We start from the raw sequence: 17,304 nt of genomic DNA on the forward strand, positions 1-17,304 counted from the left end.
GGTCACCTTAAGGTGTCCCAAGCAACTTTTTACTGTTGATGGAACTTCTGAGCTCTAAGAAGTCCTGGAGATCTTCTAATTAATTCCCTCATCCTAGAGATGAAGAAACGGGAGAAGTTTGCCCTCCTGGAGTGGGACCCTACCCCCATTCTGTTGCGGAGGAGCCTCAGTTCCTTCTTGGCACGGTGAAAATTCCAGGAAGGATCAATCAGGTCAGGTCCGTTTTAATCCCTGTATCCTGATAATGGCACATATCAGGCACCCAAATACCCAATGAATAGATTGTACTGTACATGCTTAAATGGCAAATGTGGCATGGCAGGGACCAAGCACCTTGCCTCCCTCACCCCCACTGTATCACGGTGTTGGGCAAGTTCCAGGGGAGTAAGTGAAATTTTCCACAACAGCTCAGACATGGTTAAATAAAAAAAAAAAAAATTAGAGTGTTTAATAAATGTAACCTTGATTTTTAAGAAAGCCTCTTTTTGGCCGGCCGGGCGTGGTGGCTCATGCCTGTAATCCCAGCACTTTGGGAGGCCGAGGCGGGCGGATCATCTGAGGTCAGGAGTTCGAGACCAGCCTGGCCAACCCGGTGAAAACTGTCTCTACTAAAAATACAAAAATTAGCCGGTGTGGTGGCGGGTACCTGTAATCCCAGCTACTTGGGAGGCTGAGGTAGGAGAATCACTTGAACCCGGGAGGCAGAGGTTGCGGTGAGCCGAGATTGTGCCACTGCACTCCAGCCTGGGCAACAAGAGCGAAACTCCGTCTCAAAACAAAACGAAACAAAACAAAGCGCCTCTCTTCAATTTTTCTGCACACTCAATGTTCCTACCCATCAGATTATAACTGCGTGGCTACAGCGCTAGGTGGGAAAATGGGGTTTAAGCAGTAACTAGAGACCAGGCATGAGCTATGATTAACCACTTTAAAAAATGATTAATTAGCTCTAACAGCAACTTAAATGTCCTAAAGAATAGATGGCTACCAAAATTAAGGGTGGCCTTCAGGGTACAAAACTGTAAACCCGGGTATCTGAATCCGTGTCACATACAGAGGGTAGGAATTAGAGCAGTATCTACATCAATACTACTACTCCTTCAGAACACTGGATGTCATGAGCCTGTGGTATCTCAGCTTTAAGACCCTGACCATTTATTAGAAACTGCCGTTAGGATCATTTCAGTGCTAATAATGCAATGGTGGCTGGGAGCGGAGGCTCACACCTGTAATCCCAGCACTTTGGGAGGCTGAGGCAGGCAGATCACGAGGTCAGGAGTTCAAGACCAGCCTGGCCAATATGGTGAAACCCTGTCTCTACTAGGAAAAAAAAAAAAAAAAAATTAGCTGGGCCTGGTGGCACACATGTGTAGTCCCAGCTACTCGGGAGGCTGAAGCAGAAAAATCGCTCGAACCCAGGAGGCGGAAGTTGCAGTGAGCCGAGAGCGTGCCACTGCACTCCAGCCTGGGTAACAGAGCGAGGCTCTGTCAAAAAAAAAAAATAAAAATAAAAATAAAAAATAAAAAAGCAATGGCGCTGTTGTAAATTTAATTTACCGTCTCGTTCTCCAGATTCACTGGAAAATAACCCCCATCAAACTTCTGTTGAATGAGTGGGCTTTCCCCCTAGCAGTAATTATTCATGAATATACTTATTTGGCTCCACAATGTACATTTAACTTCAAGCATCCAACTAGTTTTTGCATAGGCCAAATACAGAGGTCGTGAGTTATAATTTATTTTCCTATACTTCAATGGCTCGACTCTTGGCCTAAGCAAGCACTAAATAGACTAATAACTACCCACCCATGTCAACTGACTGCATGGCTGGCTCCCAAGTGAAGGCATGGTAGAATAGGGAGGGAACGGCAGCCACCATGCAAGAGGAGAGTCCTCCTTGGTTGGAGCCCATGCGACCTGAGAAAGAGGCATTAAAAAATGAATAAATAACCCAGTGACACCCTCCGCCCCAGTCAGTGCAGCCACAGGAGATAGGGTGAATTCAATCCAAATGGTTATTTATTCTAAAACTGGAAGCTACTTTGCCTACATTTTCGCCAGAATGGTGTAATGAGAACAGGGGAGGAAAAAGTTACAGATGTAAACAATGACACAGTTACATTTTTTTTTTAAATGGTAAAACCCCTTTTTACTGGCCACTTCCAAGAATGCTTTACAGGTTGTGCAAAAACATTTACAGGCTCCATGTGGTGTTTTTCTCACAAGCTTTCCTGTCTACAACTACAACAGACGTCTGATAAAACACTAAACAAGTCTTCTAAGGAAAACAAGGCTAGGGATTCCTCTGGTTACCATAATCCACATTTTCCCCCTTAACATAGTTTTTCATAATAAAAAGACAGAAACAAAACCCGGACATCTACTGTTGTTGCAAATGATCTCTTGGACTAAACCAACAAGGATGTGGCAGTTTCACTTTCCACCCACCTAGAAAAACAGTTTTGTAAAAAAGATTACTTTCTAGTGTCAAATATCAACAGCGAGTACCTCCCCTAACCCCTGCTGGAAAAAAACTCAACTTGATTTAGTTTAGTCCCCTTGCCCCTAAGGGCCCTAGCATCCCCATCCATGTCACAGACTACAAGAAAGATGCTATTTGCAGGACTAAACATCTGAAAAGGGGTGGCAGCCACTGCCTCAGGAAATTCAATTTTCTATTATAACATAATCTTGCCCTAAGGGAATTTCTTTGGGCTCCAGTTTTTACCTCCTTGCCTTGACATTATAAGCAAAGCTTTCTCAAACTCCCTTAATAATAATACAAAGTTAATGTGTTACAGAAAAATTCATGCAATCACTCCACTGCCACACAGAAATCCATTTGAGGACACCGCAGGGAAGCAGGTGCCAAGAGAAAGGACATGACTATGAGTAAGCAAACTTATCTCCTACCAGCCCCATTCCAGCCTTGGGGTCAGAGGTATTTGGGCGGAAGGGTGTGTCATGACAGACAAGGACACTAGAGGCCAGAATAAGGGTCTGTACACCTGAACAAGGGCTGCAGGGCAGTAACAGTGGGAGGAGGAGAGGAAGACCAAATCAGCCCACAATTTTAAACAGAGAACTGCCCAGGTGAGGAAATGGAAGTGAAGCATTTTCTAGTGGCACAGATTTTCTCACTAGGAACTGCTGCAGTATGTGGTGTCTGCTGAGTAAGCTCTTGGCTGACAGTGCTGAGCAGGAGGATGAATGAAAACTGAAGCTAGACATTGAAAGAGCATTCCATATCCCACCCATATTCTTGAACCCAGCAACCTACAGCTGTCTATCAAGAACTGGGAGGGTATTGGTAAAGTCACAAATGAAACTATCCCAACTGAAGGCTCCTGGCTAGAGGCCTCTCTGGGGACACACAGGGAAAGCGCCCCAAAAGGAATTTTGTTTCTAGAAGTCGGGAAGGGGTGCTCCCTTTCACACGCACATTTACACACGTTCACACTCACACTCTTCCCAAGGTTCAGCAGCCCCACTGAGCTGCCTCCCACCCCCCCCCACCACCCTCCCCTCTTCTATTCATTCTCTACCTGTGTATCAAAAAAACCAGCAGGGCACGAGCCCTCCACACTGTAGAAAATAGTTGCTAGTTGCTATTCTCAGCACCTGGGCCTGTGAGCCCACACCACAGGATTCACCTATATACATATCCCGCTGCAGTGAAAAGAATCCTGCTGTGTTTTCGTGTGAGCTGAAACCCTGAGAAACGTTCCTTCTCTCGCACTGTAAGAGGACAGACACTCTAACAGGGATGATTTCAGAGACCTCCCACCTCTCTCAACCTTGGAAGACAGAGACTAGAGACTGGCAAATCACAATCTTTAGGCTGAGGGCTGCAATCCCATTCTCCCCAAGATTTTACAGGAATTAATCAATGGGTCTATAGAAGGGGCAGGCTATTCTGCTCTGCCATCAAGGACAGTCCCCAGGCTTTCTTGGCCTGGGAATCCTGTAAAATAGAACCACCCACTGGCAGTCTCCATGCCTCAGCCAAACAGCACAAAGGCACAGGAAAATGGAGAGTTGGGACACTGTAAGCCTCCCAGCCCACCAGACCACATATCCCAAAAGGGAAAGGTCGGTAAAGAAAATACAAACGGTTAGTTGGTGCAAGTGATTGATAAGAGCCAATCGTTTATTTTCACTGTCCCAGTCACAAGCTCTCCCTCTGTCCCCACTCCTGCCTGCTCCTACCTGCTGTGGAGAGCACCCTCGCGCTGCCTCCCCACCCTCCCCACACCACCTCATCACTCTCCTTTACTTGGCTGCCAGTCCAGCTGCCTCAGAATGTCAGAAGGGTGCCATTTTCAGTTCTTTTCCTGTCTGACTGTAGGGTATAGAACAGGCAGCCCTAAGTGCTGCTTTCTGCGCAAATGTTTTTTGATTACAAATCTCTAACTAGGTTTGAAATGTTTTATAGAATAAGACAATATTCTTTTCAACAAACTTTAAAAAAAATGTACAGTTTTGTTGTTTGTTTCCACCTCCCCCCTCCCCCACCCCTGCTTGAGCACCCTCCCCCCCCACCACCCCTCCCCGGCAGCTCAGCCCCACCCCGACAGCCCCTGTTTTCCTTGGTTGTGTTTTGCGGGGGTGCCTGGCACCCCCAGAGATTCAGCTTCATGGCTGACAGGTGACCATGGCAGGGGCTTCACCGATACCCTTGGTACCCGTAGTAATTCCTGTAGTATCGGTCTCTGTCCTGGGGGTGGTGGTAGTAGTAACTCTGCCACTAGAAGAGAGGGAAACCCCATCACTTGGAGCCAGAGCTGGCTGAGGATGAAGAGGCATAACACTCATCCTTCTGCTCCTGCCCCCCTTCACCCTGTGTCTATCCCAAGAAGATACTCACATCCCGATTGTATTGTCTGTAATAGTCTCTGTATCTGTTGTACTCATAATCTCGCCCGTAAAATCGATCATAGTCTCCCCTGTATCGATCATAGAAATTACGGTAACCCTGAGAAAGGAAAAGAAAAAGGAGTGAAGGTTTATGGGTTTTTGGCAGCATGACCCACCGTGACCCCCTTTTAAATGCGACACATCTTAGCTCGATATTATAAATTGGTTTAATTTTCCCATAGTAAATCTTCCAGAACATATTAAATGGGCAAAACCCTAAGCCCTAAGAAAACAGGCAAACCACTCTGCTCCCCCAAGCCAACAGAATGGCTCTCACAGCCCAGAGTGAGGAGCAGAAGGAGAGCTGCACTCACCCCTCTGTTTCCAGGCTGCCCCCAGTACTGCTGCCCGTAGGCCCGGTTGTCGTAGCCTCGGCGCTGCCCGCCCACTGGAAGAGAAATGGAGAGCGCGCTCAGACAGCTGGCATGGGGTCCTGGCTCCACATCTGGGTGGAAATCAAAAACTTGGAGCCAAAGGCAATTCTGGGGGAATATGAGGCCTGCTTCGGCCAGGCTCACACATGTTAATTAAAGCACCAGCCAGGAACTTTTAAAAAGTCTGAGGGGGGAGGGCAGAGGAACAGAGACACAAGAAAACCAAGCCACTTTGTTTTTGAAGCTCCCCAATTCCTGCAAAACATTTAAGATGGCAAAAGGATACATGGCAGAGTTAGAAACATAAGGAAAAACTGCCATTCATAGAATCAGACTTTCAGCCCTGGAAGGGATTTCAGATATCGTATAACCCATACCTATCATTTTATGCAAAAGAAACAAAGTCTCTGTAATCAGCTCCTCAAGGGCGGGAACTGTCAGCATTTACAGTACCTAGCACATAGCAGGCACTCGGAAATTCTGCTGACTTAACAGTTACACACACACATACACACACATTTTTAAAGAGCAGTGAATGCACACTGGGGTTTTAACTGACAAACTAGACATTCAGGGGGAAAATTAATTCTACTAATAGCCTAACTTGCTTGGTTAAGTTCTTCCCCCCACAAAAAACACTGAATAAAGCATTCGCTTTCTTGTTAATCGAAATGACACAGAAGCAAGAAAACTGAAGATGAGAATTTGATTTCACTGCACAAATCCTTCAGATAAGACAGGAACAGTGACACTGGGAACCCATATGTTAAAATGAAAACTAGATAGATGAGAAAGCCCAAGCATTGCTTTTCAAAGAAACAAATACTTTTGTGAAAAGTAACTCTTTTTTAAAAAAGAGGATTTTTGTTGTTGTTGAAGAATTATGGAAAAAGCACAAGAAAAAGGCAGGGATAAAGAACACAGGAAGAAATAAGCTCCATGAAGAAGGCACTTCCGTATTGTTAATGACCTGACTTGGTTTCCTTGGCCTTCCCTTGCACATCTTGCTGTACTAAGCACAAAGAATGGACTGAAGTAGGGGGCTGGCAGGTCCCCAAGACTCACCATAGCCTTGGCCCCGGCTTCGGTTCTGCCGGTTACGCTTGTTTCGGTTGTTTCGGCGATTTGTCCGCTTCTCGGAGGGGGGCAGAAGCTTCCTTGCCTCCTCCTTGTACTTAGTGACAATGGGCTGAGCTTCCTCCTTCTCCAGCTCCCCATATGTCACCTCATCCATATAGTCGCATTTTTCAGGCAAAGAGAAGTTGGCTATAAGAGTAAGAGAGAAGCTTGTGGGCCTGAAAAGTGCATAGATGGGTAAGAACTCATTATGAAAACTCTACAAGAAGCATATGACTTTCTATGCCTCATCTATTACTGCACAAAAATGTGCTACGTTTATACCCACTCGCATCTAAATAATGACATTAACTTTTTCTACTCTAAGTTTTCCCTAAATTGTAACAGACCCAGGCAAAGGGCTATGTAGATTTACAAGTTCTTAAGTGATCTATAATAAATTAGGAGTGAACTGGGTTAAAGTTTCTCATCAGGACAGAAGCAGGTAACCAGAGGCTAAAAGTAACTGAGAAAGTTCTGGTGTTGGTCAGATAAGATGCTAAGAAATAACATTTTAAAAAGAGACTCAGAGATGGCCGGGCATGGTGGCTCACGCCTGTAATCCCAGCATTTTGGGAGGCCAAGGCAGGCGGACTGCTTGAGGTCAGGAGTTCGAGACCAGCCTGGCCAACATGGTGAAACCCTGTCTCTACTAAAAATACAACAATTAGCCAGGCATGGTGGCAGGTGCCTGTTATCCCAGCTACTCGGGAGGCTGAGTGCCACTGCACTCTGGCCTCGCTGACAGAAGAGAGACTCAATGAGAAACTGACCCAAGCCTAAAGGCATCTGCTCATCTATACAAGGAGAAGAGAAGACAAGAGTACAAGGGCTCTCATTTACCACCTGTCCGTGATAGGCCAGCACATCTGCCAGTCTCTGGACGTCAACTTCAGAAGCTGAGTCCCAGTGGAAATTCAGTTCAATGGGGCTCTCATGATTCTTAGATGAATCCAGTTGGCCCTCAATTTTATAAAACTGAGCTACATTTCTCTGAGTGCCTAAGTAAGAGTTATGGACTGGCATAGTTCATTCTCAGTAAACTCTGAGGATCTGGCTCATAGATATGCAAACCAGTTCCCATGCCTGGGGATTATCAGTATTTGAAGAGCAAGCAGTTGCTAGACTCGGTGGGATGTCAGGAACTAAAGGCAGCAATGGGAAAAAAAATCACGTTTTAAGGGAATAGGAGGATCAATCAAAATATTAATATTTCTTATGTAGACATTACTCTCTGTCTTATGTATTGCATTACAGACTTCAGCCAAATTAACAAACAAAACACAAACATAACGTGATACCAGAAATCAAGTTATACCAATGAGATCATTCACTCCAACTGCCATATTTTAATCTGAACCATAATAATCTCTCCCTGCGGCCAGGCGCAGTGGCACACACCTGTAATCCCAGCACTTTGGGAGGCCGAGGCGGGCAGATCACCTGAGGTCAGGAGTTCGAGACCAGCCTGACCAACATGGCGAAACCCTGTCTCTACTAAAAGTACAAAAATTAGCTGGGCGGGCACCTGTAATCCCAGCTACTCAAGAGGCTGAGGCAGGAGAATCGCTTGAACCCGGGAGGCGGAGGTTGCAGTGAGCCGAGATCGCGCCACTGTACTCCAACCTGGGCGACAAGGGCAAGACTCTGTCTTTAAAAAAAAAAAAAAAAAAAGCAGAATAAGAAATGTAGACAAACAGTAGATGTACCAGAAATATTTACTTAACAAATAACTGATTCACAGAAGCCTCTCCCTTGATCCTTTGAGTTTAAATTACCCTACGGTCACTTTTTTTTTTTTGAGACCGAGTCTTCTCACTCTGTTGTCCAGGCTGGAGTGCAGTGGCACAATCCCAGCTCACCGCAAACTCTGCCACCTAGGTTCAAGCAATTCTCTGCCTCAGCCTCCCGAGTAGCTGTGATTACAAGCGCCCACCACCATGCCCGACTAATTTTTTTTGTATTTTTAGTAGAGACAGGGTTTCACCATCTTGGCCAGGCTGGTTGTGAGCTCCTGACCTTGTAATCCACCCACCTCAACCTCCCAAAGTGCTGGGATTACAGGCGTCAGCCACCGCGCCTGGCTCACTATTTCCCTTTCTGTATCTTTTTCAAAACGAGCCAAGGCGGCTAGGCACAGCGGCGTATGCCTATAATCTAAGCACTTTAGGAGACCAAGGCGGGCAAATCACCTGAAGTCAGGAGTTCCAAGACCAGCCTGGGCAATATGGCGAAACCCCATCTCTACTAAAAATACAAAAATTAGCTAGGCATGGTGGCACATGCTTGTAATCTCAGCTACTTGGGAGGCTGAAGCAAGAGGATCACTTGAACCCAGGAGGTGGACGTTGCAGTGAGCTGAGATCACACCACTGCACTCCAGGCTGGGCAACAGGGTGAGACTCTGTCTCAAAACCAAACCAAAACAAACCAAGAAAACAATGAGTCAAAATTATTGCTTCTCTCTGTTCATTCATTTATCTACAAGTGCTCACGACCATTAAGTTCCTCTTCAGATTTACATTTTAGATGTAGAGTGTCACTCCAGTTGCTAAGAGACCTCAATAAGGTGTGCACTGACCAGGGATAAGATCTCTTTAACTTGTACAATTTTAGCCCACTGCTATGGTTTGAGTTATGTCCCACCAAAGTACAAGTGTTGAATACTTAATCCCCAATGAGCAGTATTGAGAGGGTGGGACTTTTAATGTGATTTGGTCATGAGGATTCCATCCTCATGAATAGATTAATGCCATTATTGTGAAAGTGGCTTTGTTATAAAAGCAAGTTCTCTCACATGTGCCCTCTTGCCTTTTGCCCTCCTGACATGGAATGATGCAGCAAGAAGGACCTCACCAGATGCTAATGCTATGCTCTTGGACTTCCTAGCCTCCAGAATGAGGGAAATAAACCTCTATTACTTACAAATTATGAAGTCTATGGTATTCTGTTATAGCAGCAGAAAATGGACTAAGACACCCACCTTTCATCTCCAGCATTATAGATTCAGGCACATCATCTCCCTCTACTTCCTTCCTCAACTCCAGCCTCTTCTTCCAATCTTCCTCATTAGGGACAACCACCACCACTTTCCGAGAGAAGGTCTTGAACAGCAATAGCTTCCGCCGTTGGCCAGAATTGTACACATTACACTAAGAACAGGAGGAATAACTGATGTTTAGGAAGAAAATTATCACTCAGATTTAACCAAAAGAATCAGTATCAGCTGGGCACGGTGGCTCACGCCTGTAATCCTAGCACTTTGGGAGGCCGAGGTGGGCAGATCATCTCAGGTCAGGAGTTCAAGACCAGCCTGGCCAACATGGTGAAACCTCATCTATACTAAAATACAAAAATTAACTCGGCATGATGGTGGGTGCTGTAATCCCAGCTATTTGGGAGGCTGAGACGGAAGAATCGCTTGAACCCAGGAGATGGTGGTTGCAGTGGGCTGAGATCACGCCACTGTACTCCAGCCTGGGTGGCGGCTGAGCAAGATTCCATCTCAAAAAAAAAAAAAAAAAAAAAAAAAAAAGGCCGGGCGTGACAGCTCACGCCTATAATCCTGTTATCCCAGCACTTTGGGAGGCTGAGGCAGGTAGATCATGAGGTCAGGAGATCAAGAGCATCCTGGCTAACACGATGAAACCCTGTCTCTACTAAAAATACAAAAAATTAGCCAGGCATGGTGGCGGGCACCTGTAGTCCCAGCTACTCGGGAGGCTGAGGCAGGAAAATAGCATGAACCTACGAGGCTGAGCTTGCAGTGAGCCGAGATAGCGCCACTGCACTCCAGCCTGGGCGACAGAGCGAGACTCGGTCTCAAAAAAAAAAAAAAAAAAAAAAAAGACTCAGTATCTTTGACAACTTAGACACGAGATAAAGGGTCAATACACATGATCTTCTTTAACTTTTCAAACTACATGACAGGTATTATCCTGTTTTGCTCATCAGGGAAACTGAGGTTCAGAAAGGATAAGGGACTTATCCAAGATCACAAACCAGAATGTGGTGGAGCCAGGAATTCAAATGAGTTCCAACTCTTTCCATTGTCTTTATTACATGTTTTATAGCCTGGGTCCATATATTTTCAAGTAAAAACACTAATTAGGGGTACCTCTGAGTTCAAAAAACATTGCAACCATAACACACAACCAGATGGTCATAATTAGGTAAGCTGACTCTGCTCCTTAATTCAGTCTCTCTTTATATACACATCCCACCTTGACTCTAGGCAATTTTATCAGATTAATACCTGATCAAGAATAAAGTTCCTCTTTGTCCGGGAAGCAATCTGGACCAGCTTACTAAGGCACTGGGAGGCTTGCTGAACTAAAAGGTCTCGGCTTTTGGGGTCCATCTCTGGCTCCTCGAGACCCTTCATCTGATTAGTTTGAGAGGAAGTGAAAAAAAAAAACAAAACACAAGTTATATTGCAAGTTAAAGCCCAAGAGTTATTGGTAAATGTCACCTCTTCAAATACTGAATCTATGATATCACTCTATTCCCATTCTTCAGTGCTGTGAATGTTGTCCATTTCCTGCAGTAGTCATTTCTATCTAGTCTTAACCTGGATGTATTTCAGATCTCATCTGCTTTCAGAAATTTGACAACACAGCAAAGAAAAAAAAAATCAATCCACCTAAAACGCATAGAGAAAAATCTCATTTCTCTATTTCTGGGACCCTTGTTCTCAGACACTTGAGACTAATTCTCCATTAAAGATAGGTTATAAGAGTCTCCAAATACTGTATCCGACAAATCCCCAACAGCAACTTACCCTCATTTGATTGAGCACAGTCTCAGCTCCCAGGACATTGTATCTTTTCTCAGGGTTTTCTTTTGCATATTTCAGTGCCCACTGGGTCTTTCCAGATCCGGGTAGTCCCACCATCAGAATCACCTGCAAAAAACAGAACCAGAAATATAATGAAAAATAAATGAGGGTCATGTTTATCAAAACCAATTTAAGAACATCCTCCCATTCCTGTTTGGTAACGCTCTGAGACCCTGGAGAGCATACGCACCCACCTCTGCAAAGCATACAACCTCAGTGTTCGTATACTGTTTGGCATACCTCACATTCCTCTATGGTCTTGGGAGGGACTGCAGTGCGTACACGCTCCTCAACAGGCACAGCATGAATGAACACAAACTCTTCTGGTGGTGGGAAGAAGGGCTCCTCCTTCTGACCGAAGTTTAATTCTACAACACAATTTTTGCAGAGGACATGGGGTAGAAGGGCCCGGTCTGCCAGGGAATCCTTGCTGATCCAGAATGCCACACCTAGGTCTTCTCCATTCTTGGAGAAGGAAAGTTCTACTTCTTCAGTCTCAAAATTCTACAATGACAAGGGACAAGAGCACTTATTGGCTGACGAGGCTTTGGGTTGATTAAACTTTACAATTTATTCTTTTTTCACACAGACTGCTGCACAAAGTAACTAAGCGAGCCACACACATCACATGCATAAAAGCCAGCAGTTGATGGGAAGCACAAGTGAATTCCCAGTGCCCTCTATCCGCTCCTTGTTATAACCCACAACTTTCAGGAGCACTTACAGCAAAGCAGCCAATAACATCATTCTCCCCAAAAGTCTGGCCAAATTCCTCAAATTGTCCATTTTCTGCCTTGAGTCCTCGTCCATCGAAACCGTAAGAGAATTCATCTTCACCTAGAACAGTCAACAAATTAGTTACCTACAACCGGACTTCCCATAGAGTAAGCAATATGGTAGTAAACACTAATGAGGAACTTAAAGAAATAACTTTACCAAGCTGTGGACGGGAAAAATCAACAGACCACCCAACTCGAAGGAGAGAGACCTCTGTGCAGCCTTCTTTCATTGGGAGATTCTGGGTTACCTGGCCAAGTCAGAAAGGGAACTATTAGATATTGTGACCAACTGAGTAGCAAACTCTGAGTTCGAAGGACAAGATTTTTATACAAACTGAAAACGACATTTACCTCAACTCAACATCAGAATAACAATCACTGAACTTAAAGCCACAGGGATCAATTTCTTGGTTACTGAAACTAAGGTTCTTGTTAAAGCACAGTGCTTTTACCTACCTGCACTAATAAAAGCCTGATTGGACAGAAGTCCAGTATACATAGGTAGTAGCTTAATGAATAAATGAACGGTCTTTTTAAAAAAATATTTCTTCCCCAGCCAGGTGCGGTAGCTCATGCCTGTAATCCCAGCACTTTGGGAGGCCAAGACGGGCGGATCACCTGAGGTCGGGAGTTCAAGACCAGCCCGACCAACATGGAGAAACCCCATCTCTACTAAGAATACAAAATTAGCCAGGTGTGGTGGCGCATGCCTGTAATCCCAGCTCCTCGGGAGGCTGAGGCAGGAGAATCGCTTCAACCCAGGAGGCAGAGGCTGTGGTGAGCCGAGATGGTGCCACTGGACTCCAGCCTGGGTAACAAGAGCGAAACTCCATCTCAAAAAAAAAGAGATAATAATCTTCTTTTCCCCCTCTAAGAACCGTAAGCATCCAGTAATAAATGAATGAATGAATGAATGGTCTTAATGAGCTACCTTTGCCTCAAAGCAGACTTTTCCCTTTGTCACTCCGTAAGTACTCCTTGCCCCAGACCAAAGGGTGGGGAACTTCTCTGAGAAAAGTGGCTGCCCTCCATAGCGGTCTTTGCTCACTTGAAAATGCAGATCCGAGGTATCTGTAAAGAAAGAAGCAATCAGTTTACTCCAATGTCCAATACTTGTAAGCCGCCAACAGAGCATAAGTATACCAGTTGTTGTAGTGGATACAAAGTCTCATAGAATTTATAGGCTATGAAGTTTTAATCTCCAAAATCACTTTTAGGAGATTAGTTAAAAACCACAGTCTGTCTGCCTTATACATACACGTGTCCAGGTTCACAAGAGTTTGATCCTCCTCCTCATCTTTTGCCTCTTCTTCAGGAGGCAGTGGAGACTTTGAGCTATATATGTAAGATAGAAAAGAAACACAATGTAAACAAAGCCCTCTTCTTTGAGGGGTGTGTGTGTATGACATTATGTCCATTTTAAACTGTCAGTGAATATCAAATCCCAGCAGACAGCTTTTTCCAATAAATGAGAAAGGGCAATAGGAGTTTCCATGGTAGATGCAATCTAAAACTCATGCCTATAAAAACCTATTCCATTTTGAATCCACCCTCCTTCCAGTCTCTCCAGTCAATACCAGGTATACCAAAATCAGAGCAGACACTCCCTTCAACGAAAGGGACTGTTTCCCTCACCGGCTGTGGTAAGCCTCCTCTCGGAATTCATAGTAAGCTCGGCCATGTTCATCCTTCTCATCCCGCTGTCTCTTTACCCCCCGCCGCTCACCATCTGAGCCTGCTGGTTTTGACTTTTCACTATCCTGGTCATCTCCTACAAAAACGAGGGAAAGAAAATCAGCAGTTTTCATACTGGAGTGTAGAATAAGCTCACAACTAATAGACACTAACAGGGAATCTGAGAATCTGTCTGATCAAAACAGCCAGGTTATTCCCACTACATTCACATAACATTTTATTTCTAAAGATCAGCTTTCTGTCATTGGCTGTGATTTAATTTTTTTAAAAAGGGGCATTATGGGCTAATTACAGTCAAGCACTAGATAAAAATTGGACAATTTTTGCATTCTAAATTTATCCACTTAAATCAGGTCAAACTTGCAGATTTCCCCATCAATATGACATAAAAAATATCCTCTAGGTCTCTAAGAAAACCTCAAAGGTTAATTTAATTTTGACTCTTGTCAGATCTAGATTTAAGGTAGGCAGTTAGTACATATTTTGTAACACTTTTCCACACCTTCATGATACAGAGAAGCCTCAATTTCTTTTATTTCCCTTTCCTGCACTGAAATACACAGCCATCCATGGCTTTATTCATGTGGCAAATGGACTCAAGTGCATTATACACAGCTGTATTTTTATCAGGGACTTCTACTGAAAGTTGCAAGAGCAAACCACTAAGTCACAAGAGATCCATAAATAATACCGCATCTAGACTGCACATTTGGGGCAGAAAGGTGTTGTTGTATATTTAGCAACTTCTCTGCAAGAGGAAAAAACTTGGAGTTTTTCCCTAGGCTTCTGTATTTTGCAACACTAGGAAGGTTTTTAATAATAATTTCTTTAAAGCAGTCTTTTATCCTTCAATATATATTTTTTTGAGACAGAGTCTCGTTCTGTCGCCCAGGCTGGAGTGTAGTGGCGCGATCTCAGCTCACCGCAACCTCCGCCTCCCGGGTTCAAGCCATTCTCCCGCCTCAGCCTCCCAAGAAGCTGGGATTACCGGCACCCGCCATCACGCCCGGCTAATATTTTGTATTTTTACTAGAGACAGGGGTTTCACCATGTTGACCAGGCTGGTCTCAAACTCCTGACCTCAGGTGATCCACCCGCCTGGCCTCCCAAAGTGCCAGGATTACAGGCGTGAGCCACCACCCCCAGCCTATCCTTCAATTATTTTTTTATCTGCTCTTTGGGATATACATAAGTCAAAGGTTATGTAATGGGATTTTTGCTCCGGGACACAGGACAAACAATCTGCAAGTTGCATGTGATTGTTGTACAATGGGTTCCGATTATACCATGACTCTCCATAGTGGCCTAAAAATATTACTAACAAAAGAACTGAGGCCACCCACTTTATAGTAAGACTTATCCTCCCTACTCGGACACACACTGTTATGGATCAGTTCTAACCATCCAATCACTTCAAAAGAAAGGAGAAAGGTCACTAACTCCCTGGGGCGATTCTACAACACACCTCTTCCACAAGGTTACTCAACGGACCCAACAGCACCTCAGTCATTACCATTCAGGAACCGAGGGACCTGAAACGTAAAAGACTAGCACCAGGTGTTCAGCAAATCTACAAATATGCCTATCCACGGACTCAGTGGGACAATTAAAATTTAATCATAATCCAAGCAAGATAAAAACCCTAGCCAAGTAACGTTAACTAACTCTAAATGAACTAGATTAAGATTTTTCTCTTCACTGGTTAACTATTAAACTCGACACTGTTACACTAGAGGCTCTCCCTTACAGCTCAAAGAGGAGCAAGGTTGGATTTTCAGATTCTCTGTGGCTCAAGCTCTGGTAACATGCTTTTAATGGAACGGACTTTGACGGACTTCGATTTTTGCTTAACATTTTTACGGCGAAAAAGTTAGGTCAGGTAGCCCAAAGACCTGACCCTCTAACTGTGGGCCTAGTTCTCCGTGTAATCCCCAATTGCTTAGCACTTTCTCAGCTAAGAAAAATATAACAAGCACCGTGGGAGACTGTTCCACAGGTAGCTCACAAGTAGTTCGCATGCAAAATCACTCACTGCCATCCACTATCACCAAGGAACCAAGTTAGGCAGGAACCTTCCTCCTGCAAAGAGTAGGGCCACGAGAGGCGGCCTAACCCCTCAGAAAGGTGGGTAGAGAATGAAAGGAGTTCCATCAAATGGCACTTTGAGGCAAGCGAGAACAAGGACTCGGACCCTGCGGTGCAGGGCGGGGTGCTAGATCAGGGGCGCAGCCGGCAGGTTGGAGCCGGGCTCGGCTGCCAGCTCCTCACCCTGTTCCTCGGCGGCCTTGTCACCCGGCACCTCGGATCCCGGCGTCTCGTCCCCGCTCCGCTCCTCGGGTTCGTCTTCCTCCCTCTTGCCGAGGCCCTGCTCTTCGCCACCATTTACCCCGCCTGACCCGGCCGTGGCCTCCGCCGGCTTCTCGGAAGCATCTGGCTCGGCCGCGGCCTCCATGGCTGCCGCCTCCGGGGGCTCCGGCGGCGGCTGCGCGGCCTGACCCAAGGCTTGAGCAGGGGGTGGCTCCTCGTCCTCGTCCTCAAGCAGCGCCTCCTCGTCCTCCTCCTCCTCCTCTTCGTCCTCCTCCTCGTCCCCGCCCGGGCCGCCGCCCGACGCGGCCACAGGCCGAGGCTCCGCCTTGCAGGCCCCGCCGGGCCCGGCCCCGCCGCCGCCGGCCTCGTCCTCGAGCATCTCGGCGTCCAGCGCCTCCTGCAGCCGCTGCGCCAGATCCACCTTGAGGCCGCGCGAGTCCAGGCCCCGCCGCTGCAGCTCCGACCGCAGCTCGGTCACTTTCAGCCGCTTCACCTCCATCGCCGCCGCCGCCTCCTCCGCCTCCCGCCGCCTCCTCCCCTGCGAACCGTCGACCGAGTCCGACCGCGCAGGCGCCGCCGCCGCCGCCCGCCTCCGCCTCACGCGCCAGCACTGAGCCCGCGCGAGCGAGCGCACGCACGCAGGAGCGGAGGCCGCGCACGGTCCCGCTGCGCAGTGTTTGCTTCTCCTTCGTCTCCCCTCCCCCTTTCGGCTCACGGAGCCCAAAACAACGCAGCAGGGAGCTGTTTCCCCTCCAGGCCCTTGGTTCCCCAGCCGCGGGCAGGCGCGCGCGGAGGACGACGGAGTTCCTCCCGCTTCCTCCCGCCCTCTGGCGCCCCCGGGCCAATCGCCGCCGGTGCTTTTATCGCGCAGCCGCAGTGGAGTCCAAGACGGGCAAGGCTGGCTGCAGCTCAAGTGCCTCGTAGCACGGAAGCGTGTGCGCGCCGGTCTTTCAGTACTTCCAGCCGGGGAGTTCTGCGCAGCCGCCCGGAGCTCCCCGATGCCATGCCCCTCCCACCACCCTTACTTCCGTCTGACTTCCATTTGCTGTGGCGTTTTAGGGGTCGCTAGCCTCTTTTCCCTACTGTCTGTGCTTGCAGCAGTAACGACAAAAAAAAAGTCATTAGAGAATGTGTTGCAACATGTAAGCCTAGTAGCAATTGTTTTTCTGGCTAGGAAGCAAAAGGGCTCCCCAGAACGAAGAAATACTGTAATCCGGGCCCTCCTTTTTCCTCAACGCCTCAACTTCTACCCAGCAACAGAGGCCCTTGAACCCGCCCT

General features: G+C 46.6%; 1 protein-coding gene and 1 long non-coding RNA gene across 2 annotated transcripts in view, besides 4 other annotated features; both read right to left on the reverse strand.

Annotated features, from left to right (window-relative positions):
• The window catches only part of HNRNPUL2-BSCL2 (HNRNPUL2-BSCL2 readthrough (NMD candidate)), a 37,123-nt gene extending 20,371 nt beyond the window's left edge, over positions 1 to 16,752 (reverse strand). Inside the window, exons 1-13 of the long non-coding RNA NR_037946.1 lie at positions 15,987 to 16,752; positions 13,659 to 13,794; positions 13,282 to 13,358; positions 12,955 to 13,094; positions 12,181 to 12,271; positions 11,969 to 12,081; positions 11,485 to 11,748; positions 11,188 to 11,310; positions 10,663 to 10,791; positions 9,391 to 9,559; positions 6,357 to 6,557; positions 5,232 to 5,305; positions 4,868 to 4,975 (exon numbers count right to left, since the gene is read on the reverse strand). This is a non-coding gene — a long non-coding RNA (HNRNPUL2-BSCL2 readthrough (NMD candidate)). The remainder of the gene's footprint in view (positions 1 to 4,867; positions 4,976 to 5,231; positions 5,306 to 6,356; positions 6,558 to 9,390; positions 9,560 to 10,662; positions 10,792 to 11,187; positions 11,311 to 11,484; positions 11,749 to 11,968; positions 12,082 to 12,180; positions 12,272 to 12,954; positions 13,095 to 13,281; positions 13,359 to 13,658; positions 13,795 to 15,986) is intronic.
• Positions 1,998 to 16,825, reverse strand: HNRNPUL2 (heterogeneous nuclear ribonucleoprotein U like 2). The gene is made up of 14 exons (NM_001079559.3): positions 15,987 to 16,825; positions 13,659 to 13,794; positions 13,282 to 13,358; positions 12,955 to 13,094; positions 12,181 to 12,271; positions 11,969 to 12,081; positions 11,485 to 11,748; positions 11,188 to 11,310; positions 10,663 to 10,791; positions 9,391 to 9,559; positions 6,357 to 6,557; positions 5,232 to 5,305; positions 4,868 to 4,975; positions 1,998 to 4,747 (listed from the first exon to the last, which is right to left on the reverse strand). The coding sequence occupies exons 1-14, from the start codon at positions 16,522 to 16,524 to the stop codon at positions 4,667 to 4,669; spliced, it is 2,244 nt and encodes a 747-aa protein (NP_001073027.1). The 5' UTR covers positions 16,525 to 16,825; the 3' UTR covers positions 1,998 to 4,666.
• Positions 4,791 to 5,292: an enhancer, noted in NCBI's record as "H3K4me1 hESC enhancer chr11:62482895-62483396 (GRCh37/hg19 assembly coordinates)". NCBI's record gives its function as "activates a minimal SCP1, AML or CMV promoter by ChIP-STARR-seq in primed H9 embryonic stem cells {active_cell/tissue: H9 hESC(primed)}" and the evidence as "EXISTENCE:reporter gene assay evidence [ECO:0000049][PMID:30033119]".
• Positions 16,266 to 16,645: a silencer, noted in NCBI's record as "silent region_3427". NCBI's record gives its function as "represses an Ori minimal core promoter by ATAC-STARR-seq in GM12878 lymphoblastoid cells {active_cell/tissue: GM12878}" and the evidence as "EXISTENCE:reporter gene assay evidence [ECO:0000049][PMID:35858748]".
• Positions 16,816 to 16,975: a silencer, noted in NCBI's record as "silent region_3428". NCBI's record gives its function as "represses an Ori minimal core promoter by ATAC-STARR-seq in GM12878 lymphoblastoid cells {active_cell/tissue: GM12878}" and the evidence as "EXISTENCE:reporter gene assay evidence [ECO:0000049][PMID:35858748]".
• Positions 17,236 to 17,285: an enhancer, noted in NCBI's record as "active region_4841". NCBI's record gives its function as "activates an Ori minimal core promoter by ATAC-STARR-seq in GM12878 lymphoblastoid cells {active_cell/tissue: GM12878}" and the evidence as "EXISTENCE:reporter gene assay evidence [ECO:0000049][PMID:35858748]".

The sequence above is a fragment of the Homo sapiens genome, chromosome 11, assembly GCF_000001405.40.
Source record: "Homo sapiens chromosome 11, GRCh38.p14 Primary Assembly".
Lineage (NCBI taxonomy): Eukaryota > Metazoa > Chordata > Mammalia > Primates > Hominidae > Homo > Homo sapiens.